Here is a 25,138-nt window from a genome sequence, read left to right as displayed (position 1 = left end):
TTTTTTTTGAGACGGAGTCTCACTCTGTCGCCCAGGCTGGACGGCAGTGGCATGATCTCGGCTCACTGTAACCTCCGCCTCCCGGGTTCAAGTGATTCTCCTGCCCCAGCCTCTCAAGTAGCTGGGACTATAGGCGCCTGCCACCACGCCCAGCTAATTTTTGTATTTTTAGTAGAGACGGGGTTTCACCATATTGGCCAGGCTGGTCTCGAACTCCTGACCTTGTGATCCGCCTACCTTGGCCTCCCAAAGTGCTGGGATTACAGGCGTGAGCCACCACACCCAGCAAAAAGGTTCTTATACGTTCATTCAAAGGTCTGATTTAATTTATACATAGGCTTTCATATCCACGATAGTCTTTAAAATGAGTAAAAATAGCTAGGTGCAGTGGCTCATACCTGTAATCCCAGCCCTCTGGGAGGCCAATGAGGGAGTATCACTTGAGGCCAGGAGTTCAAGACCAGCCTGGGTAACATAGCAAGACCCTGGCTCTACCAAAAAAAAAAAAAAAATTAAAAACATTAGCCAGGTGGCCGGGTGCGGGGGTTCACGCCTGTAATTCCAGCACTTTGGGAGGCCAAGGAGGGTGGATCACGAGGTCAGGAGATCAAAACCATCCTGGCTAACACAGTGAAACCCCGTCTCTAATAAAAATACAAAAAATTAGCTGGGTTTGGTGGCAGGCGCCTGTAGTCCCAGCTACTCGGGAGGCTGAGGCAGGAGAATAGCGCGAACACAGGAGGCAGAGCTTGCAGTGAGCCGAGTTCGTACCACTGCACTCCAGCCTGGGCGACAGAGTGAGACTCCGTCTCAAAAAAAAAAAAAAAAAAATTAGCTGGGCATGGTGGCCCACACCTATCGATAGTCCCAGCTACTCAGGAGGCTGAGACAGCAGAATCACTTGAACCTATGAGTTTAAGGCTGCAATGAGCTATGATCCCACCAATGCATTCCAGCCTGGGCATGACAGCAAGAGCCTCATCTCTAAAGTTTTTTAAAATACAAAAACTAGGCCAGGTGCAGTGGCTCACACCTGTAATCCCAGCACTTTGAAAAGCCAAAGTGGGTAGATCACGAGGTCAGGAGTTCAAGACCAGCCTGACCAACATGGTGAAACCCCGTCTCTATTAAAAATACAAAAATTAGCCAGACGTGGTGGCACACACCTGTAATCCCAGCTACTCAGGAGGCGGAAGCAGGAGAATCGCTTGAACCCGGGAGGTGGAGGTTCAGTGAGCCGAGATCGCACCACTGCACTCCAGCCTGGGCGGCAGAGCTAGACTCTATATCAAAAAAAAAAAAACAGCTAACTAAAAAAACCCAAGTTAATCTTTTCTCAGTTTCCTTTGCCTTTTTCCTTTCTCCCACTGATTTTGCCTGATTGTTTTTCCTATTTCAATATGGTTAAAAAAAAATTACAGAGGAGAAAAGAACAGTTTTTTCAATAAGCTGCTAGGACAACTGGACCAACAGCAAAAGAATAAAGCTGGACCCCCTACTTTACATCATATACAAAAATTGACTCAAAATGGATCAAAGTCCTAAATATAAGAATTAAAACTATAAAACTCAGAATAACACATAGGCGGGGCAGGGAAAAAATAATAATAAAATAAATAAATTTTAAAAATTAGCACATAGGCATTAATCTCTGTGACCTTTAACAATGGTTTCTTAGATATGACACCAAAAGCACAACCAACCAAAGGAAAATAGATAAACTGGACTGCATCAAAATGAAAGGTTTTTGTGCTTCAAAGGATACCAAAAAGAAAGTAAAAAGACAAGCCACATAATGGGAGCATAAATTCACAAGTCATTATCTGATAAGGGTCTAATATGTAGAATGCATAAAGAACTCTTACCAACCAACAGTAAAAAGACAAACAGTCCAATTTAAAAATGGGCAAGAGATCTAGATGAATAGACATTTCCCCAAGAAGATATACAAATGTCCAATAAGCAAATGAAAAGATGCTCAATATCATTAGGCATTAGGGAAATGCAAATCCAAAACATGATGAGATACCATTTCATACCCACTAGAATGGCTATAATCAAAAAGGCAGACAATAACAAGTTTTGCAAGTTCAAAAGCATGTAAAGAAAGTGCAACCTATACGCTGTTGATAGGATGCAAAATGGTGCAACCACTTTAGAAAACACTTCAGCAGTTCCTCACAAAGTTAAACACAGAGCTACCATATGACCAAGCAATTTCACTCCAAGAGAGGTGAAAACATATGTCCATGCAAAAATCTGTACACAGATATTTATAGCTGCACTATTCATAACAGACAAAAAGTGGAAACAACCCAGAAATTCATCAGCTGAGGACTGCATTAACAAAGTGATGTATATTCATACAATAGAGTATTATTCAGCTATAAAAAGGAATGAAGTACTGATGTGTATGCTACAACGTGGATGAACCTTGAAAACATGCTAAATGAAAAAAGCAAGACACAGAAGGCCACATATTGAATGATTTCATTTATATAAAATGTCCAGGATGGGATAAAGACAGAAAATAGATTAGTTGTTGCCAGGGAGCAGGAGAAGTGACTGTTATTGGGTACAAGGTTTCTTTTGGGGGTGATGAAAATGTTTGGGAATCAGATAGTACAGTTGCACAACTTTGGGAATATATTTAAAAACCACTGAACTCTACACTTTAAAAGGGTGAATTTTATGGTACAATTATAACTAAATTAAAAAATTAAAGAACAAAAGAATAATAGAGGAATAAAAAAGCAGCACAACTAAGGAATGAAGCAGATGTTGCTTTTCTGACCCAACATTTCTGTACACTTACTATGTTTCAGACCCATGCTGGTTGATAGGAACCCAAAGATGAGTAAAACAAAGTTGCTATATTTTCTTCAAGGTCCTTCTCCTTAGCCTACAAATGTCTTATTTCTCAAGAGTGTGGCAGCTTTGAAAATGCAAAAACAGCAAGTATAAACCACAGACAACCCAAGAGAATACAGATATTTACATTATAAACCCCTCTCAATTACCTAGAAGGTGATTTTTTAGGTTTCACTAAATATGGGGGAGAGGAGAGATATGTTTCTATTATTAGATATTAAATAACTCATTGTTCCCCAATGCTGACAATGTCATTTTCCAAGAATTATTATTTAAATAGCTTCATTTCACTTATTTGAAAATTTTTATAAATGTTTTTGATAAATCTTTCTTGATTATATCACTTTGAATGTATTGTTTTTCTCAGTGACTCCTGGATTCTCTATTTTTGACATTCAAAAAACCTCATGTTATAACACAAATATCCCATAATAAAATGTGTTCTAACACTGTATTACAATAGCTATATGACAACTTTTTTTTTTTTCAGTAAAAACAAGTAACAAGACAGTTCTCTAAACTCAGAAAGTGTCTGGGTTCTAATAAAATTTTCATATATCAGGGAAAATCTGATTTCCTGATGGCTGCATTTCTATAAAAGAATAGCTAACAAAAATCAAAGTAATGTTTGGACAGAAAATTAGGCTGAATAGTACTTTAAACATTGCAACAAAAAAAGGCACGTTCTACTTAATCCAGGATATTAAATATTTTTGATTAATACATTATTTATACTAAATTCCCAAAAGGCAAAACTAAAATCTACATTATTATTACCTTATCTTTGGCCTCAGGCAGTGTGATTTCTCTAGGTTCTAAAAATGCAATTTCTCGAAAAGGTGGAACACATCTGACTATATCTGGTACATAATGTGTATGAAACAATGGTGGCATTGAGTATCTTCGTTCACCTGATAAAGGCACTATCTGGTTAACTACAGTTGGCTCTTGGTGGGGTGAATGGAAACGTTGCCGTTTACCGTCAAGAGGAAGGTTTTTTTCATCGCTTAATCTCCTGAAAACAAGCAATATACCTTAGTAATTAAAGATACAACTTTCTGATAACAAATAAAAAGCAATTAAATATATATAAATATCATAAGAGATAATGACAATATGATTCTTTCAATAAGGTCACTTTATTAGCTTTATATGGATCTTAAAAATATTCATGTTCAGCACAAGAAATGCCTCTCAACACCTTAAAAAAAATAGTAATAATGGAGACAGAAAAAACTACATGTATATATTGAGGTTAGTCTCCTGTATTTGAACTACCCCAATGTTTCATCTCAGTAGTGAAAACTTTGTAGGAAAAGTTCTATTTATAGAATTACTAAGAAGATCCAAACTATAACATAAGGAAGATACGATTAAGTGAGCTGAGTGCTAGTTATAAAAAAGGGCTCTTTGAATACACCTATGTTCTGACTCATCAGCAGGAAAGACCAATTAAGAAACACTTTTCAATAAAGCTATAAAGACATTGGACAACGAAGAAATTCAAAAATGAGCTGCAACTCAGATAATAGTATTTTATTAATATTAAATTTCTCAGGAATAATCAATGTATTTTGGTTATATAGAAGAAAAGCCTTGTTTTGTAGGAGGAATAAGCTGACATGTTTTAAGGTAAAATGGTGTCAACAACTTTCTTTCATATGGTTCAGGAAAAAAAGCAGGTGGGCAGAAAGAAAAAGAGAAAGAAATCAAATGTAAAACTTTTAACTCATGAATCTAGGCAAAAGGCATACAGATATTCACCATATTATTCTTTTTCTGGAGGTTTTAGTATTTGCAAAATAAAAAGGGAAAAATCATTAAAGAGTAAGTATTTGTTGGGAAAAAAGACATTTACTTCATTGATATATTAAGTTGTTCATGTAGGTAATACTTTATGCCACAGAAAATGGCCCGATTCCTTTTAAGCCTGAAAATTCTATGGGTCATAGAAGGTTTTTTTTTTGAGACAGAGTCTTCCTCTGTTGCCGGGCTAGAGTGCAGTGGCACAGTCTCAGCTCACCGCAACCTCTGCCTCCGGGATTTCCAGGTATTCTCCTGCCTCAGCCGCCTGAGTAGCTGGGACTACAGGCGCCCGCCACGATGCTCAGCTAATTTTTGTGTTTTTAGTCGAGATGGGGTTTCACCATGTTGGCCAGGCTGGTCTCGAACTCCTGACCTCAAATGACCTGCCCACCTCAGCCTCCCAAAGTGCTGGGATTACAGGCATGAGACACTGCACCCGGCCCATAGAAGGTTTTTTAACACTCCTTTGGGATTATGTCAATTTCTCTCTCCTTGATAGATCTGCAAAATAAGTGGAACCCCTACTCACAGGTAAAATATACAGTGCTAAATGCATAAAAGTATATTTAATATTTTTAAACATAAAAGTATTTTAGAGCTATATATGCTGAATATCTTCTAATGAGAATGCCAATTTTAATTTTAAAAATATGTTTAACTACAAATTAATGGAGTTTTGTTTTTTTTGTTTTTTTTTTTTTTTGAGATAGAGTCTCGCTCTGTTGCCCAGGCTGGAGTGCAGTGGGGGGATCTTGGCTTACTGTAAGCTCCACCTCCTGGGTTCATGCCATTCTCCTGCCTCAGCCTCCTGAGTAGCTGGGATTACAGGTATGTGCCACCACACTCGGCTAATTTTTTGTATTTTTAGTAGAGATGGGGTTTCACTGTGTTAGCCAGGATGGTCTCGATCTCCTGACCTCGTGATCTGCCTGCCTCGGCCTCCCAAAGTGCTGGGATTACAGGTGTGAGCCACTGCGCCCGGCCTAAGGGAGCTTATTTTCATTCTTAATTCACAAATTGGCTATAAAGGCAATTTCTAAAAAATAAAATCTGAATAAAGTCAATACTATTAGAATTATTATAAAACTTTTCTCAATGACAATTTTGAAGAACAACCTGTAGTGCTTTTAAGCATATGACTCAGAGACATACAACATTTCAAATCCTAGCTATGTCACTTCTGAGTAAGTAGTTACTTAACCTTTGTGTGAGTCAGCTTTCTCCTCAACAGGCAAGGGATAATAGTATCTACCTCAGTGTTACGTGATTTAATCAAACCGTTAGTTGTAAAGGCTTAAAATAATGATTACTACATAATAAGCAATAACTCCTAGCTAGTGTTATTTTTTTTTTTTACAGCACCTTGTTCACTGATAGTGTTTTTTTTAATAGGACATAAAGGTTATAGAATGTTTATATAGGTTTTTAAGTAATAGTGGTATCTTTCAAATATTGCCGAATGTTATTTCAATAACTACCTCTCAAGTTCTGTTTTTAAATAAATGAATTTCTTTTAATCAAAGATTAAAATTAATTGACTCCTGACTTGACTATAGGAAGTTTTATGTCACACAGAAATTTTCACTACAATATTTGTTATCATGGAACCTTACCTGTGTGAGATGTAGATAAATCAAAAGAAAAACATAAAGTTTACTAGAAAGAAAATGCTATAATTGTGTCCCCCTAGAAATTCAGATGTTGAAGTCCTAAGCCCCAGTAGCTCAGAATGTGACTGTATTTGGAGATAGGACCTCTGAAAAGTTACCTAAGTTAAAGTGGGGTCTTTAAGATGAACGTTAATCCAATATGACTGGTGTCCTTAGAAGAAGAGATGAGGACACAGAAAACACAGGGCAACGGCCATATTAAGACACAGTGACAAAGCAGCCATCTACAAGGCAAGAAAAGAAGCCTCAGAAGAAACCAACCCTGCCAACACCTTGATCTAGCCTCCAGAATTGTAAGAAAATAAATTTCTGTTGTGTAAGCCACCCAATGTGTGGTACGTTGTTATGGCAACCCTACCCTAGCAAATGAATACAGGCCATCTCATTTAGTTAAAAAATCTCAATTAAAAAGTGGTTTTCTGAGGAAACAGCTTTATTCTAGAAAAAGAAAACCTGGGATATAGAAAAGGGGAGATCTGATGTAGGGCAGAAACAAACATACAATAAAGCAGGAACAAATCAACAAAAGAACACCTAAAATTTTTAAACGCATAAAAATGTTAAAATTCCATGACTCATCTGATCGTACAGGTCCCAGAAAACAAAACATAGGGCTTAGGGTCCATACAATATTAATTCAAGATACATCATTACAGAGTTCTCAGAAATGCAAAAATATTCTTTTAAAATAATTAAGAAGTACTTACTTCCTTCCTCGAAATAATGGGGAAGCTGAGGTCTGTATTGGACTGACATTTCCATATGTCAGCTGCTGTAATGACACAGCTCTAGACAAGCTAACAAAATCAAAGAAAAGAACAGTAATTTATACATATTTTTTCTTTAAAAACAAAACCAGTCTCTGAAAAAAAATTAAATACATCCGTATCAAAAAAAAATGTGACGACATATTCTCCATGTTCAAAAGTTTCATACAAAAAGGGTTTATGTCAAATAGAAAATGAAATTTACCAACAACATGGGCCAAAATATCACCATACTCACTCTGCATTCTGAAAGTTGAATTGTGCATCTATAAGCTGCTGGTGTGAATAAACAGTAGGTGACAGGGTAAAGAAGTTATTATGTTGTTGATGATTTGGAGTGAAGGGTGGGCGACCCAAAATTGAGTTTGGGAACATGCTCTTGTTCACTGGAAGTGAACATGTATTCTTCTACCTAGGATAATTTAAAAAGACAATATTAAATTATCATAGCTTAAAGACACTAAACACTTTGATAACTATTATCCACTAACTTAAAACAATTAGTTATCAAGTTACAAATTTTATTTGCAAAGTTAAATAGGTCTCCTAAGTGCCACTGTAGGTAACAAAAGAAAACTAATAATAAATTCCAAATCTAAGATTAACATAATTCAAACAGCAAGATATATGCACATTTCTAATTTTCTGATTAATTTACCCTAATACTTTTACCCTCGTATCAACAAATCTTTTAGAAATCCAAGTTATCACCTGACATTAATAAAATCCCACAGATTATTACATTTATTCTCAAACTAATTTATACAAAGGTATAAACCATCACATGACATCCTGATTCCTAGAATTTGGATCTTACAGGTCTGATCAAATAAGGAATGGATTTTATATTGTCTTAACAATTTATAAGATTCTGAGATTCCCCTCAAAGTCTACATAATTTATATAAAAGACTTCCAATAAAAGAGGGCTATGTTCCACAGGAATAGGGAAAAATTGTACAAAGCAATCAGAATCCTTCACTGATCCAGGGAGGAGAGTAGATATTTATTCTTTGCAGTGACCAATATATCAAGGCTGTAGTCTTGCAAAGGATAGGATAAAGTAATAAACTGAAAATGAGGATCAGGTAAAGTCTACAAAGAAAAATAGGACCCCTCAGCCCACTTTCTCAAAGCAAGCAATTAGAAAACTCTTATGAAAAAACAAAATGAGAGAGAAACTATGTAACGTAGTAACAAGAGAACATAATAATACTTGGGAGTCCATCAAGAAAATGTCAAGGTAGCTAACTAATCAACTTAACATGAAGCCAACTAGTTGACAGGCCCTACCCACATACTTTTAGAGTTTCTAATTAGACTCCTGATATTCTCACTTAAAATAGGCATCCATGGATCACCAGAAGAAAAATAAAACCTGGGAATAAACAGAAACGATGTCAGGAACAAATGAACACTCAAAAAAAAAACTCAGATTAATGAAAAGACATTGCATATATAAAACAAGAATATGCTATTTAAAAAGAAAGGGGCCGGATGTGGTGGCTCACACCTACAATCCCAGCACTCTGGGAGGCCGGGGTGGGAAGACTACTTGAGCTCAGGAGTTCAAGACTAGCCTGGACAACAAAGTGAGACCCTGTCTCTATAAAAAAAAAAAATCAAAAAAATTAGCCAGGCACAGTAGTGTTTGCCTATGGTCCCAGCTACACAGGAGGCTGAGGTGGGAGGATTGCTTGAGTCCAGGAGGTCAAGGCTGTAGTGAACCATGTTCATGCCACTGCACTCCACCCTGGGACACAAGGCAAGACCCTATCTCACAAAAATAAAATAAACAGGCTCTGGGAAATTATAAAATTGAAAGCAAAACTACCCAGCAGAAATTTAAAAGATAACTTTGAGGAAATGTATTAGAAAGAACGAAAAGGAAAAGGTGGTAGGGGCAGGAAGGAGGCAAGACAACAGAAGAGAAAACAAAAAGTATTAAACTATGTGATCTAACATTGTAACAGAAGGTCCAGAAAGAACAGAAAAAATACAGGACATTACCTAATAAATAAAACAAAAAAAATGCCAAAGACTGAAAGACACCAATCCCCAGACTGAAAGGATCTAAAGGGTACAAAGCACAGTAAAAAAGTTACATGTCAAGGTATATTATATTGAAGTTTCAGAATATCACACAAAAAAAGGAAGTTTATAAAATATTCAAAGAGGGAAAATGTTATAAACAAACGGCAAGAAATCAAAATGGCTTTGGACTTCTCAATAGCACAGGACATGGACTCATGACTTCAAATCTCTGACGGAAATGCTCTCAGGCTGTAATTCTATACCTAGCTGTACTATCAATGCAAAGGCAACTAGAAACATTCTTAGACATTTAAGTTATCAAAAAAGAAAAAGAAAACCTGGAATCTAGAAAAAGGGAGATCTGATGTAGGGCAGAAACAAAGTAAATTACCCGAGATGACAGTGATGGGAAGCTAACAGTTCAAATTAGAATGGGAGGATGCAGGGCTTCAAGAAGATATCTAAGAAAAGAAAAATCAACTGGTGGATTATCTGATGTATTTGACCATAGAGATAAGTTCTGTTAACAGAGTAGAAATAATTTTAGAAATACAGAAAAGTAGCTAGTTAAAAATAAATTACCAAAGAAAAAAACACTCAATAGGTAATATAAAAAAGGCAATATAATCAGTTACCTGATTCTTACAAAGAATGAATATACTGATTTTTTTAAAACTGAGTTACTATATAAAATTTATTATATATTATTTATATATGACACTACCTTATACATTTGTGTTTATATATCACAAGTTTTATATGGAGGATGACAAGAGGGTACAAAAAGTGCTAAATTCTCATTTTCAGTAAAAATAAATCAAAAGAATGAACTATAGAAGCTTTATTCTTTTTTCTTTTCTTTTTTTTTTTAAACAACAGAGTAAAGTAAAACTAGGTAGCCAGAAGAATTGAAGTAGCTGCCTCTGGGGATTGTGACTAGGAGGGCTGGAAAAACTATGAGAGACAACAGGGGAGAAAAAGAAAAATCTGGGAAGAAATTAATAAATCCCTCACAAACATTGTTCCTTGTTTTTTCAATTCCATAAGATTAAAATTCCCTAGGTTGGCCACAGATAACAAGGCTCACCAGTCCAGGGTTCATAACAGATTGTGGACAAAATTCTATGAACCATCATCAGACCTCATCCTAAATGCCTGACTCTAATTTGGACCAGAGACAAGGTTAACCTCCAGAAAACAAGAGTCTGTCAACTTTCTTTAGCAGACCCTTATGTCTTTTTACAAGAGATTTTTAAAAAAGAAAATAATCCTGTCATATTTCCTCACCTGTACACCCTAGCTTCTTCAGAGGAAATGGAAATATCTTGAACTAAGCAGCATTCCAGGGAATCCCCTAGCAAAAATACATACAATAATCCTGGGCTGGGCAGTTGCTCATGCCTGTAATCCCTTGGGAGGCTGAGGCAGGCAGATTGTTTGAGCCCAGGAGTTAAAGACCAGCCTGGGCAACACGGTAAAACCCCATCTCTACAACAAATACAAAATTAGGCTGCACGCCTATAATCCCAGCACTTTGGGAGGCCGAAGCAGATGGATCACCTAAGGTCAGGAGTTCAAGACCAGCCTGACTAACATGGTGAAATCCCTACTAAATACAAAAAAAATCAGCCAGGCGTGGTAGCACATGCCTGTAATCCCAGCTACTTGGGAGGCTGGGACAGGAGAATCGCTTGTACCTGGGAGGCGGAGGTTGCAGTGAGCCAAGATCGCGCAATTGCACTCCAGCCTGGGCAACAAGAACAAAACTCCATCTCAAAAAAAAAAAAAAAAAAAAAAAAAATTAGGCCGGGTGCAATGGCTCATGCCTATAATCCCAACACTCTGGGAGGCCGAGGTGGGCAGATCACCTGAGGTCAGGAGTTCGAGACCAGCCTGGCCAACACGGCAAAATCCCGTCTCTACTAAAAATACAAAATTAGCTAGCGTGGTGGTGGACACCTGTAATCCCAGCTACTTGGGAGGCTGAGGCAGGGGAATCGCTTGAACCTGGCAAGCAGAGGTTACAGTGAGCAGAGATCGCACCACTGCACTCCAGCCTGGGCGAAAAAACGAGACTTCGTCTCAAAAAAAAAACAAACACACAACAAAAATTAGCCAGGTGTGGTGGTCTGCATCTGAAGTCCCAGCTACTCTGGAGGCTGGGGTGGGAGGATCGCTTGAGCCAGGGAGACGGAGGTTGGAGTGAGCCGAGGAGACTGTGCCACTGCACTCCAGCCTGGTCAACAGAGCAAGACCCTGTCTCAAAAACAAAAAAAAAAAAGAAAAAAGAAAAATCTTGGATTGCCAGATTCAAGACTGGCAACGAACACTTTTCACCCTTTGCTCAGGCTCACACTCCTTCTTGGCCTTTTTTACTCTGGTTCCCTAACCTAATTTCCCATAAAACATAGGATCCTACTTCATAGGATTTATGAGAAAATGATATTAAATACAATTCACTGTAACAAATTTTGCTTGATAGTTCATTTTGTTGGAATAGACACTACAAATCTAGTGAATGGAAGAAATATGTATTCAGAAAAACTAGAATTAAAATCTTGTACTTTCAGGTTTATTTAAATCGGTTCATAGCAAAAAGCCTAGATACTTTTGTTTATACCTATAAAAAATATGCTGTTTTTCCTCTATAACTGAATAAGGTCCATGTATATTAAGATTTGAAGATGCAAAATGACATCAAGAGCCCAGGCCTCACCTTGTTTTCATCTCTTACACAGCCAAATCCAAACTAAGTCTAAAGATGACTTGTGGCTCAGAACTACTCTACCAAGTTAATGACCAAATTATCCCCAGCTTAAAAACTTAGATTGAGTCCACAGCCAGATGTTTAGTCTAGGGCAGAAATCTAGTTTAGCATATTCCAAATTCCCAGAAATATATCAAGCTCTGGAGCCCCTGCAAAACAAAGGATCTGTCAGCCTCTCCTCAGTATGAATTTTGGCCCTCAAGTCAGGCTCTTTTTAAAGAAGGTAGGCTTCAAGTAGAGGAAAATCATTCCGACGCATTCGTTCTATGCTCACCAATATAGGTATTCTGAAAGACATCTAGAGTTGAGGAAGTAAATGAAACGCCTATGAATTTCTATGCCTTTTTCTAATACATTTCACATTGATTTTGATGAAAATAAAAATGACATCAAAACAATTATCATAAACAACATAATCATTTTTTTAAAGAGACTGTAGAGTTTCACAAAATACAGTAAAACTATTACTGTAACAGAAATAAGGGGACCTCCACAAAATTTTAAATCATTTTCTTCATACTCTGAATGAAAGGTTTCTTAAGTAGAGATTAGCTATATAAAACGTTACTCCACATTAACTATGGTCTTCTACCATCTCCTATGTGACAAATTTTATGATAGATACATAAAATCCAGATATTGGCAATATCCAATTTTCCTTACCTTAAAAGTTATCAGTTCCACAATCTGTACTTGACCATGAAAGAGTATACTGGTACTTTCTTTACGGAGAAAACCTTAAAGACGGTTTCCTAAGGTGGACCCAATGGGAAATTACACAGGTTTACATGAGACAAGGTAGTAAAAGAGTAGATTAATTCGGCCGGGCACAGTGGCTCACGCCTGTAATCCCAGCACTTTGGGAGGCCGAGGCGGATGGATCACCTGAGGTCAGGAGTTGGAGACCAGCCTGGCCAACATGGTGAAACCCTGCCTCTACTAAAAATACAAAAATTAGCCAAGCATAGTGGCACGTGCCTGTAATCCCAGCTACTCGGCAGGCTGAGGCAGGAGATCGCTTGAACCCAGGAGGCAGAGGCTGCAGTGAGCCAAGATAGTGCCATTGCACTGTAGCCTGGGTGACAAGATCAAGATTCCGTCTTGCAAAAAAAAAAAAAAAAAAAAAAAAAAAGATTAATTCCTAGTAATTTCTAGTTATAAAGTATTTGGTCCTGGAATTTGCAACCTGGAATTTCTGTCCTCAACTTGACCTCTCCTCCAACAAATTAGAGAACACTCAAGGTTATATATAATTCCTTCATCAGGATTCTTTAGAAAGCAGAATATACCTAGAATGAAAACCAGAAATTTACTGGCTAAACCAAGATACTGTCCATTTTGTCCAAATACCTTTGATATCTCAAACCCACTTTTCTCCACAATACGAAAAATCCAGTTCCTAAATCCTGCCAACCCACTGTGAAAACTACTTCCAGGTTTTGAACAGGATATTCCTTTTGGTTAAGAATTAAATTACACCCAAGTGTTCAAAAAAATAATCTAGTCACATGGCTCCAAATGGGCATTTCTTAAACAACTCATAAACGGCCTATTTCACATGGAACCTGTTACAGGACATTTCCAGAACAGACATAATTAGGGCTATTCACACCAACAAAGTAACGTCACTATTACTGGCTATTAATCAGTATAAATTAATAGCCTTATGGCTGTTAATCAGTACGTGTTAGAAGCCTGGTGGTACTGAACCATACAATATGAAGATATTTACAAAAGTTACTATGTTACCTGTAATATAAAAACACAGATTTAGTAATCAGTTACAATCTCTTTCTTCACAAAATCATACACTGCACATGTGTTATTTAGCTTGTGTTTTACAGTTTCCCTTTGTTTCTTCTCTGTTCACCCTAATGAAAAATATCTGCTACTTTAAACAAAGAGTTGAAAGAGATAAGACAAGTAATTTAGAGAATCCATAAGTTTTGAGACATATAAGCCTTTCGTGTTCTCACCTTGAGAGACGAAGAGCTTTTCTACAAAGGCTGAACAAGAAAAGAAACGCACACAACAGTCTTAACCTGTGCATTTTCCTATAAAGTGAAAAGCTGAAGCAATTTCATGCCATTTAATTAAGGCTTAAAAGATAAATGCCTTTTAAATTTTTTAATTAATCCAGCTACGTACCTTAGTTCTTCACCACCCTTTGAAACACCATGCAAGGGTCCCAAGACTATCTTCCTCTTTTGGTCCTGGAGTGGTGGACGAGGCAGTACGCGAGGAATAGAAAACGAGTAAGCAAAGTAAGCGGTCCTAAGATTCTTCAAAATGTACAGCAGCCCAGATGCCGCCCATAAATTTGGAATAACCAAGAGATACTGCTGGAACCTCCCACGCAAAACAAAACGCTACCGTTTCGGAAAAGTTTCCCGTGCCCCGCCGCCGACCTGGGCCTACACTGCTGCGTTCCTCTCCGAAACCCCCTAAACTCACAGGTGTCCTCCGGGAAGGGCTAAGCAGGGCCTACCCGCACTGCCCGTTCAGAAGTTCTAAGGCCCGAGCTGGGCGTACTTGGTCGTAGCTTTCTCCCGAACCAAAGGAGGTAGTGGTGGCCCGTGGGACAGCTAGGCCCAGCTCCGGCTCCGGCTGAGATCTAACCCCCCTCACGGCTGCCAGGGGAGGAGCAACACAAGAAAAGGTAGGGGCTGCAAGGATATAGAAGGTTGGGGGCGGTGGCAAAAAGCGGAAGAGCAAAAAGTCGCCGAAAAAGCGGCGTAGAAAACCCTGTCAAAGACACCCGGAAGACCGACGTGACCCCGGATGAGAATAGGCAGCGGGGAGCGAAAGGTCACACTTCCGGTGGCCGCCTCCCTCCCACCCCCCAACCCCCCCCACCCCCCAACCCCCCCCACCCCCCCCACCCCGCCTATGAGCGCTTTGCTTGAATGCGCAGGCGCAAGACAGCCGGATTTGAAAGGAGTTTCTTAACTGCTGCCAGCACAAGTTGGGAAAGGGTTAGGACTGCACTAAGAGGGGTGGAGCAGGCAGTCGCCGGAGGGCCACTTCTGGGCCCCTTGCCTGAACTCACGTGCAGCCGTTCTAGCTGTAACAGACGTTTTCTGTGGGTCCTTCGTGTGTTGGCCGAGTGACTTGTCCCCAGAGAAGCCTTTCTTTAACCAGTGTTCCCCTAATCTTCTCCCCCGGAGCAACATTAAACTTTATCTGTTCTTTTGCCCCTCCAGTAACCTGAGAGCTTCTTTGGAAGGAAAATGCTTTCTTTGGCCGGACGCGGTGGCTCACCCCTGTAATCCTAGCACTTTGGGAGGCTGAGGCGGGCGGATCACGAGGTCAGGAGTTCGAGACCAGCCTGGCCAACATGGTGAAACCCCATCTTTACTAAAAATACAAAAATTAGCCGAGCTTGGTGGCGTGCGCCTGTAACCCCGCTACTCAAGAGGCTGAGGCTGGCGAATCGCTTGAACCCGGGAGGCGGAGGTTGCAGTGAGCCGAGATCGTGCCACAGCACTCCAGCCTGGGCGACAGAGCAAGACTTTGTCTCAAAAAAAAAAAAAAAAAAAAATGCTTTCTTTCTCTCTAAAGCCTGGACTTAGCGCCTTGCCCATAGTAATAGCTGGTATTCACTAATTCAACAAATATTTATTGATATCGCCTCTTGAGTGAGCTTTAATAATTTGTAGAAATGTCTAAATTGTTTAATAATGCAAATCTGTTAGCTGTATTCCTTTATTGTCCACTTAATGTCTATAAAATCTGACCCCTCAGGTTCTGAAATTGGTAATTTGTGTGTCATCTTTTTTTCTGATCGATCTGGTGAGGGGCTTCTCGGTTTACGGATCTCAAATCTCAAAGCCCGTTTTTGCTTTCTTGGATTTTCTCTACTGGTTTTCTGTTTTCTATTTTATTGATTTCTGCTCTTATGTTTATTGTTTCCTTTACTCTGCTATTTTTTAATTTTTAAATTTCTTGTTTTGTTTCTCTAGTTTCTTAACTCAGAAACTGATGACCATTAATTTTAGATGTCTCTTGTTTGTACAGGCATTTGGTGTGATAAGTGTCCCTCTATACTGTTTTAGCTACATTCCACATATTTTGATATATTGTATTTTCATTTTCCTTCATTTCAAAATACTTTGTAATTTCCCTATTGCTTTCTTTTTTTGACCATGGGTTTTTTGTAAGTGTTGGTCTGCAAATGTGGAGGAGTTTTCCAGGTAGCTGCCTGTTACTGATTTCTGATTTAATCCCATTGTGATCAGAGAAGGTACTTCGTACACTATTAATAATTTTAAACTTATTGACACTTGTTCTGTGGCCCAGAGTATATAGTCTGTCTTGGTAAATACTCACTGTGCATTTGAAATGAATGTGTTTTTTGCAGTTGTTGCATGGAGTGTTCTATAAATGTCAATCATGTCAAGTTGGTTGATATTAGTGTTCAAATCTATATCCTTTCTGATTTACTGTCTACTTATTCTACTAATTATTGAGAGTATTGAAATTTCTGACTATTACTGGTTTTTTTCAATTGTAGTTCTATCAATTTCTGCTTCATGTACTTTGCAGCTCAGCTATTAGTTGCATAAACATAGTTATTCTCTTATTTGTATGAATTTATCCTTTATGAAAGTTTCATTATTATGAAATTATCCACTTTACAAATGACCCTCCTCTTTGCTGATAATGTTCTTTGCTCTGAAGTATATTTTGTCTGATAGTATTACAGCTACTTAGGCTTTCTTTTGTAGGGTGTTAACATGGTATATATAAGGAAAACATAATTCCAATTCTAGATAAAGTCCTCCAAAAATTGAAGAGGAGGGAATACTTCCCAGCTCATTCTGTGGGGCCAGCATTACACTAATACCCAAACTCTAGATATTAAACAAGCAAACTATGGACCAATATCTCTCATAAACATAATATGCACAATTCTAGTCACTTTTATTTCACAGTATATAAAAAAGATAATACATTATATCCAAACAGGTGCTTATCCTAGGAATGCAAGGTTGAATTAGCATTGTATTGACCATAAAAGAGTATACTGGTACTTGCTTTACGGAGAAAACTTTAAAGACTGTTTCCTAAGGTGGACCCAATGGGAAATTACACAGGTTTACATGAGACAAGGCAGTAAAAAGTAGATTATATAAAAAAGATATATAAATATATAAATACATAAAAATATATAAAAAAGATAATACATTATAACCAAACAGGGGCTTATCCTAGGAATGCAAGGTTGAATTAGCATTGGTAAATCAAGCAATGTAATTTACCATATTAACAAACTAAAAAAGAAAAACCATTTGATAATCTCAATACATGCAGCAAATGCATTGGACAAAATCCAGTATCCATTCCTAAGATTACAAGGAAACTTCCTCAACTTGATAGAGAGTGTCTATAAAAAGCATCACACTTAATGGTGAAGAACAGTGCTTTCAACTTAAGATCAGGAACAAGGCAAGGATTTCTGCTCTGACAACTTATGTTCAATATTGTACTGGGGATTCTAGCCTGTGCAATAAGGCAAGGAAAAAAAAAAGGCATTCAAATTAGCAAAGAAGGAAGTAAAACTGGTTTTATTTGTTTTATTTATTGAAAACTCTGGCACAAAATCTACAAAAAACTATCAGATCAAATAAATGACCAAGACTACAGGTCGTAAAATCAATACACAAATGTCAATGGCATTTGTAGTACACCAGCAATAAACAATCTGAAATTGAAATTTAAAATACCATCTACAACAGCATCAAAAATTTGAGGCGGGCATGGTGGCATGCACCTGTAGTCCCAGCTACTTGAGAGGATGAGGCAGAGAATCACTTGAGCCCAGGAGTATGATGGCATTATGATAGGTCACTGCAGCCCCAGAAAGAGAATGGAAAGACAAGCCAAAAACTGAAGCAGCTATTTGCAAATCACGTATCTGATAAGAATGTGTGTGTGTGGTTGTTTTTTTTTTTTTTTTTTTTTTTGAGATAGGGTCTTGCTGTGTCTCAAAAGAGCTGGAGTGTAGTGGCATGCTCACGACTCACTGCTACCTCGACTTCCCAGGCTCAAGTGATCCTCCCACCTCAACTTCCTTAGTGCTGGGACTACAGGTGTGCACCACCATGCCTGATTAATTATTGTATTTGTTATAGAGGATGGAGTTTCCCCATGTTGCCCAGGCTGGTCTCGAACTCCTTGACTCAAGCAATCCACCTGCCTCAGACTCTCTAAGTGCCGGAATTACAAGTGTGAGCCATCATGCCAGGCCCTGGTAAATAATTTATATCCAGGCTGGGCAAGATGGCTCACGCCTGTAATCTCAGCACTTTGGGAGGCCGAGGTGGGTGGATCACAAGGTCAGTAGTTCGAGACCAGCCTGGCCAATATGGTGAAACCCCGACTCTACTAAAAATACAAAAATTAGCCTGGCATGGTGGCAGGCGCCTGTAGTCCCAGCTACTTGGGAGGCTGAAGCAGGAGAATCACTTGAACCCGGGAGGCAGAGGTTGCAGTGAGCCGAGATCACGCCATTGCACTCCAGCCTGGGTGACAGGGCAAGACTCTGTCCACAAAAAAAAAAAAAAAAAAAAAAAAAAAAAAATTTATATCCAGAGTGTCTATTTTTTGAACTCTCATACCTCAATAGTAACCCAAAAAAATGGGCAAAAGGTTTGAAGAGACATTTCATCAAAGAAGCCATATATGGATGACAAATAAAGGCATGAAAAGATATGCAACATCATTAGTCATTAGAAGAAATACAGATTAAGAGAAAAATATAAATTAAGACCTCAACAACATACCCTACCTATTTGATGGTAAATTCCAAAAGACTAGTCATACCAAGAATTTGTCAGAACATAGAGCAACTGAAACTCATACACTACTAATGGGAATATGAAATGGTACAAGCACTTTGGAAAAAACTTAGGAAGTTTCTTAAAAGGGTAAGCATACATTTATTTGCATATGATTCAGACATTCCATCCCTAGGTATTTACTCAAAAGAAATGAAAGCACATGTCCACAGAAGGACTTGTACACAAATGTTCATAGCAACTGTATTTGTAATTACCTGTAATCCCAACCCTTTGGGAGGCCAAGGCGGGAGGATTGCTTGAGGCCAGGAGTTGGAGACCAGCCTGGGCAACTTGGCGAAACCCTGTCTCTACTAAAAACAAATAGCAATCTCAGCTACTAGGGAGGCTGAAGAAGGACAATCGTGTAAGCTTAGGAGGTGGAGGCTGCAGGGAGCTGTGATTGCACCACTGCTGCACTCCAACCTGGGTGACACAACAAGACCGTGTCCCAAAAAAAAAAAAAACAAAAAAAAAAACCTAAAAAACCTGTAACACAAATACCCATTAACAGGCAGATGGGCTGAGAGTGGTCACACCTGTAATCTCAGCACATTGAGAAGCCAAGGTGGGAGGACTGCTTGAGGCCAGGAGTTGGAGACCAGCCTGGCAACACAGTGAGACCCCCATTTCTACCTATACCAGGAGTATCCAATCTTTTGGCTGCCACACTGGAAGAAGAATTGTCTTGGGCCACACATAAAATACAATAGCTGATGAGCTAGAAAAAACAAAATTGGAAAGAAAATATCATAATGTTTTAAGAAAGTTTACAAATTTGTGTTGGGCTGCATTCAAAGCTGTCTTGGACCATATGCAGCCTGTGGACTGAGGTTTGGACAAACTTGCTCCTACCTCCTAGGGAGGTTGAAGAGGGAGGATTACTGGAACCCAGGAGTTTGAAGCTGCAGTGAGCTCTGATTCTACCACTACAAGCAGAGTGAGACCCTATCTCTAAAAACAAAACTAAAAATAAATTTAAGATAAAAATTAAAACCAGACCAGGCACGGTGGCTCACGCCTGTAATCCCAGCACTTTGGGAGGCCAAGGTGGGTGGATCACCTGAGGTCGGGAGTTCGAGACCAGCCTAACCAACATAGAGAAACCCCGTCTCTACTAAAAATACAAAGTTAGCCGATCAGGGTGGCATATGCCTGTAATCACAGCTACTCGAGAGGCTGAGGCAGGAGAATCACTTGAACCCAGGAGGCAGAGGTTGCAGTGAGCCGATATCGCGCAATTCCACTCCAGCCTGGGAAACAAGAACAAAATTCCGTCTCAAAAAACAAAAAAGAAAATTAAAACCAAGTAAATGGATAAACAATTCATGGTATATCCATACAGTACAATACGGCTCAGAATAAAAATAAATTATTGACACAAGCAATGATACATGGATTAATCTCAAAGTAATTGCAATCGGTGAAAGAAAAAGATTTTTTGAAAAGTATATATGATCCTATTTATATAAAATTCCAAAAAATGCAAACAAATCCTTAGTGAGAAAAGGCAGGTGAGTGGCAGCCTGGAAGATGAGGGTGTAGGGGATGGGGAAGGGCAAAGAAGGGCAGGAGGAAGAGGTAAAAGGAATACAAAGAAACTTTTGGGAGTGATACCCATGTTCATTATTTTGATTATTCTGGTAGTTTCATTTGTGTATTTATAGGAAAAAACATGTACAACCTATTATGTCTCAATTATACCTCAAAGAAGCTGTTAAAAAGAAAAAAACTTTTGGTCCATGTTGCACTTTGGTTTTTGTGTTGGTTTGGTTTGATTTTTTTTTTTTTTTTTTTTTTTTGAGACAGTCTCACTCTGTCGCCCAGGCTGGAGTGCAGTGGCACAATCTTGGCTCACTGCTACCTCCACCTCCTAGGTTCAAGCAATTCTCCTGCCTCAGCCTCCATTACAGGTGCCCACGACCGAGCCTGGCTAATTTTTGTATTTTTAGTAGAGATGGGGTTTCGCCATGTTGGCCAGGCTGGTCTCAAACTCCTGGCCTCAGATGATCTGCCCGCCTCAGCCTCCCAAAGTGCTGGGATTACAGACACGAGCCACCGCGCCTGACCGCGTGTTGCACTTTGAATAAATCTCTCAAACCATGCATGATTCGTGACATGTTACACTTGTCATTTAGAAATATTGGTTCACTGAGTTATGCAGATCTTCCAAATGTTGACACATTTTACCCTACATTATCAAACACATCACATTTGTTAATATCACTTCCAATCTCATCAGAAGAAGAGTCTTTAAGTTTTTTTTTTTTTTTTTTTTGAGACGGAGTCTCACTCTGTCGCACAGTGGGGAATATAGTGGCACGATCTCGGCTCACTGCAACCTCCACCTCCCGGGTTCAAGCAATTCTCCTGCCTCAGCCTCCCGAGTAGCTGGGACTACAGGTGCGCACCACCATGTCTGGCTAAATTTTTTTGTATTTTTAGTAGAGATAGGGTTTCACCATGCTGGCTAGGCTGGTCTTGAACTCCTGACCTCAAGTGATCCGCCTGCCTCAGCCTCCCAGAGTGGTAGGATTACAGGTGTGAGCCACCACACCCGGCCAGAATCTTTAAGTATTTGGAAGCAATCAAGATCACAGTGATGATGCAACCTTTACCAAATTGTTATTTTTGCTTGAAAGTTCAGTTATATGAATGTCAACAAATAGATGTTATTTATTTTCATGAAAATGTTTTCCAAGTACCTAAGTGTGAATAACCAGCTTGTCAGTCAATAGATCTTTTAATTAAAATGGTGTTTCATGATAAAATCAGTGAGTTCAGCCTGCAACTCATTCCCACAAGTGCTTAGAGAAAAGCACTTGTTTGAGAGTTCTTTGGTATGCAGCAGAAGTGCTTTATAAATGCTTCTTTTTTTCATACAGAATATTTTAAAAGATGTGTATTCACGGGTGAAAACAATCCAATTTGCAATTTTCATTGCTTCATTAAGAACATTCTTAAATAAAACTGGAAGTTTTTTAAAACTGCAAGTGAATGGCAGTGAAGAATATAAGGACTATTAATTTGTATCAGTGGTATTCAACTGGAGGTGACTTTGTCCTCGGGACATTTGGCAATGATATTTTTGGCTATCACGACTTAAGAGGAGAGAGTTACTACTGACATCTAAGGAGTAGAAACCATGGATTCTGCTAAACATCCTAACAATGCATAGGACAGTGCCCCCTCTCCCACCGAAAAGTATTATCAGCCCAATATTCTATTATAGGGTATAGCACACTTTGTTTATCCATTCATCAGGTGATGGACATTAGCGTTGTTTCTACTTTTTGGCTATTATAAATAATGCTGCTATAAACATTGATATGGTTAGGCTTCCCTCCTTCCCCCACAAATCTCATCTTGAATTATAATCCCCAGTTGTTGAGGGAGGAAATTGCTGGGAGGTGATTGGATCATGGGGGCAGTTTTTCCCGTGCTATTCTTGTGACAGTGAGTGAGTTTTCATGAGATCTCATGGTTTTATAAGTGTTTGGCAAGTTCCTCCACTCACTCTTCTCTCTCCTGCCAGCACATGAAGAAGGCTCTTGCTTTCCCTTCACCTTCCACCATGAGTGTAAGTTTCCTCAGGCTCCTGCACCCATGTGCATCTGTGAGGCAATTAAACCTCTTTCCTTTATAAATTACCCAGTCTCAGGTTTATAGCAGTGTGAGAACAGACTAATACAAACATTCATGTATAAGTTTCTGTTTAAACATGTTTTCAACTATCTTGGGTATATACCTAGGAGTTAAATTTTTAGGTCATAGGGTAACACTATGTTTAATTTTTTGAGGAACTACCAAACTGTTTGCCAAAGTGGCTGCACTATTTTACATTAACATCAGCAGCCTGTGAGTGTTTCAATTTCTCCACATCCTCATCAATGCTTATAACTGTCTTTTTTCTTATAGCAATCTTGGTAGTTGTAGAGTGATATCACATTGTGATCTGCAATAGTTTGCTTTTGAACCATCAAAGCCAATTTTAACACGAAAAACAGTAAATAAACTCTTAGTGTTATTTTTTTCTTTTTTGAGACGGAGTCTCACTCTGTCACCAGGTTGGAGTGCAGTGGCTCGATCTTGGCTCACTGCAACCTCTGACTTCCTGGTTCAAGCGATTCTCCTGCCTCAGCCTCCCAAGTAGCTGGGATTACAGGCATGAGCCACCATGCCCAGCTAATTTTTGTATTTTTAGTACAGATGGGGTTTCACCATGTTGGCCAGGATGGTCTCGATCTCCTGACCTCAGGAGATCCACCCACCTCGGCCTCCCAAAGTGCTGAGATTACAGGCATGAGCTATCATGCCTGGCCAATTCTAAGTATTTTTATATAGTTTTTGACATCATGATGCCTGAAAATGTATGTGGATCACATTTTGAAAATGGCTTAAGTAGGTAGGGTATTGCAGATGCCCTGAAAAAATTGATAGTAGAGAGATTTACTGGGAGCTTACTATATGCCAGGCACCTTGCTAAGCATTTTACATCAATTACCCTTTATAATCTGATTAACAGCCCTCTAATAGAGCTACTATAATTATCTCCAATTTATGGGTGAGAACACTGAATCTCCAGCCAAGCAACTTGTTCAATGTCCCACAAATAATGCCAAAGACAAGCTTTGAATTTAGAGATAGCCTGACTCCGGCGCTCCATGCCTTCTCCCCCAGCAGAGCGTAGCCTCCTCCCACACTCAACCCCAAACCTTGGGGCAGAATCAGCAAAGAAGGGTAGTAGTGAGGGACTTGGGGACTTTTGATGTGGTTTTTGTGATTTTTTATTTTGTATTTGGCATGCAAGCTCTTCTGTGATTTGCAATCATTCTACAGCTAATTCTAGGTTCCTTCATCCTGGATTTGTTAATTTACATCCCTATTCCTGTATACCCAACATGCTTCTGTTATGTCTGCTGAAAATGTTGCTTTTTCAAAAGGAGATGGGAGTGGGGAGGCAGATTGTTTAGAGAGATGCTAACCAGCCTACAGGGCTCTCTTGGCCCAGAAGAGAGAAGGTAGAAGAATATGCCCACTGAGTAAACTGGAGGGAATTTACAAGATCTGGGAGTTCTACTTCCTTTGTGCATGAGTGCGCATTGGTACATTCATACGTCCATGTCTCTTCTTGGCATTCACTTCATGGAGAACCTGAACTAACTGCACTAACTCAGAGGGTTCAGGGGAACCTTTCCTTGAAGAGTAGAAGTTAGGTGAAAATTTGAGATAAGAAAGAAAGCAGTACTGAGATAAGCAGGAGCTTGGCACAATGCCTGCCACAGGGTTGGTACTCCATAAACACTGCTCGACCAAACGGGATGCAAAGCACTTTATGTACACATGTCATTATTCCTCACAACCAATTTTACAAAAGGAGTTCCATTATTTCCCCTGTTTTGCAAATGGCAAAGCTGAAGATAAGAGCTATAAAGTAAACTGCCCAAGGCCTGACAATAATTTAAAGCTACAGCTAGGATACAAACAGGTTTGTTTGTTTCCAAGCTTGTTATTTTTAACTGCTTAACTACCAAGTTATACTGGCTCCCTTCAGAGCAGTTGAAAACAGTCTTTTAAAAGAAAATGGCCAGCCTCAGTGGTCCATGCCTGTAATCCCAGCACTTTGGGAGGCTGAGGGGGGTGGATCACCTGAGATCAGAGTTCAAGACCAGTCTGGCCAACATAGCGAAATCCCATCTCTAAAATACAAAAATTAGCTGAGCGTAGTGGTGGGTGCCTGTCATCCCAGCTACTCAAGAGGCTGAGGCAGGAGAATCGCTTGAATTGTTGTCCAGGCTGGAGTGCAATGGCACGATCTCAGCTCACTGCAACCTCTGCCTCGGGAGGTTGCAGTGAGCTGAGATCGTGCCATTGCACTCCAGCCTGGGCAACAAGAGGGAAGCTAGGGAAACTCCGTCTCAAAAAAAAAATGCCGGGCACAGTGGCTCATGCCTGTAATCCCAGCACTTTGGAAGGCTGAGGCGGGCAGATTACCTGAGGTCAGGAGTTCAAGACCAGCCTGACCAACATGGAGGAACCCCCTCTCTACTAAAAATACAAAAAATTAGGCCAGGTACAGTGGCTCACGCCCGTAATCCCAGAACTTTGGGAGGCCGAGGTGGGCGGATCACAGCGTCAGCAGATCGAGACCATCCTGGCTAACACGGTGAAACCCCATCTCTACTAAAAATACAAAAAATTAGCTGGGCGTGATGGCACGCGCCTGTAGTCCCAGCTACTCAGGAGGCTGAGGCAGGAGAATCACTTGAACCTGGGAGGCAGAGGTTGCAGTGAGCCGAGATGGCACCACTGCACTCCAGCCTAGGCAACAGAGCAAGACTCGGTCTAAAAAAAAAAAAAAGCGTATATATATATGTGTGTGTGT

The 25,138-nt window shown here is 39.4% G+C and overlaps 1 protein-coding gene and 1 long non-coding RNA gene across 83 annotated transcripts in view, besides 1 other annotated feature; one reads left to right on the top strand and one right to left on the bottom strand.

The window, feature by feature from the left end:
- Window positions 1-14,697, bottom strand: part of TENT2 (terminal nucleotidyltransferase 2) — a 75,806-nt gene extending 61,109 nt beyond the window's left edge. For 12 of the 82 annotated variants that reach the window (NM_001388099.1, NM_001388101.1, NM_001349549.2 and 9 more), the window contains exons 1-4: window positions 14,063-14,697; window positions 7,353-7,526; window positions 7,055-7,144; window positions 3,649-3,886 (exon numbers count right to left, since the gene is read on the bottom strand). In NM_001388099.1, coding sequence (NP_001375028.1) covers window positions 3,649-3,886; window positions 7,055-7,144; window positions 7,353-7,489 — 465 coding nt within the window. In that variant the 5' untranslated portion in view covers window positions 7,490-7,526; window positions 14,063-14,697. Of the gene's footprint in view, window positions 1-3,648; window positions 3,887-7,054; window positions 7,145-7,352; window positions 7,527-8,414; window positions 8,492-9,538; window positions 9,609-10,434; window positions 10,502-12,577; window positions 13,204-13,890; window positions 13,921-14,062 lie in introns of those variants that run through there. The other 70 variants (NM_001388100.1, XM_011543220.4, NM_001349552.2 and 67 more) reach the window with 29 other exon arrangements.
- Window positions 13,893-15,092: an enhancer, noted in NCBI's record as "CDK7 strongly-dependent group 2 enhancer chr5:78907869-78909068 (GRCh37/hg19 assembly coordinates)". NCBI's record gives its function as "activates an origin of replication core promoter dependent on BRD2, BRD4, P300/CBP, MED14 and CDK7 cofactors, with strong dependence on CDK7, by STARR-seq in HCT116 cells {active_cell/tissue: HCT116}" and the evidence as "EXISTENCE:reporter gene assay evidence [ECO:0000049][PMID:35650434]".
- Window positions 14,801-15,667, top strand: LOC124901014 (uncharacterized). Its single transcript, XR_007058840.1, has 2 exons — window positions 14,801-14,996; window positions 15,118-15,667. It is a non-coding gene; the product is annotated as an uncharacterized LOC124901014 (long non-coding RNA).
- Window positions 15,668-25,138: the final 9,471 nt, after the last annotated feature.

Source organism: Homo sapiens, chromosome 5 (assembly GCF_000001405.40).
Source record: "Homo sapiens chromosome 5, GRCh38.p14 Primary Assembly".
NCBI lineage: Eukaryota > Metazoa > Chordata > Mammalia > Primates > Hominidae > Homo > Homo sapiens.
The sequence above is the reverse complement of the archived record's forward strand: the minus strand, read 5'-3'. Positions and strand labels throughout refer to the sequence as shown.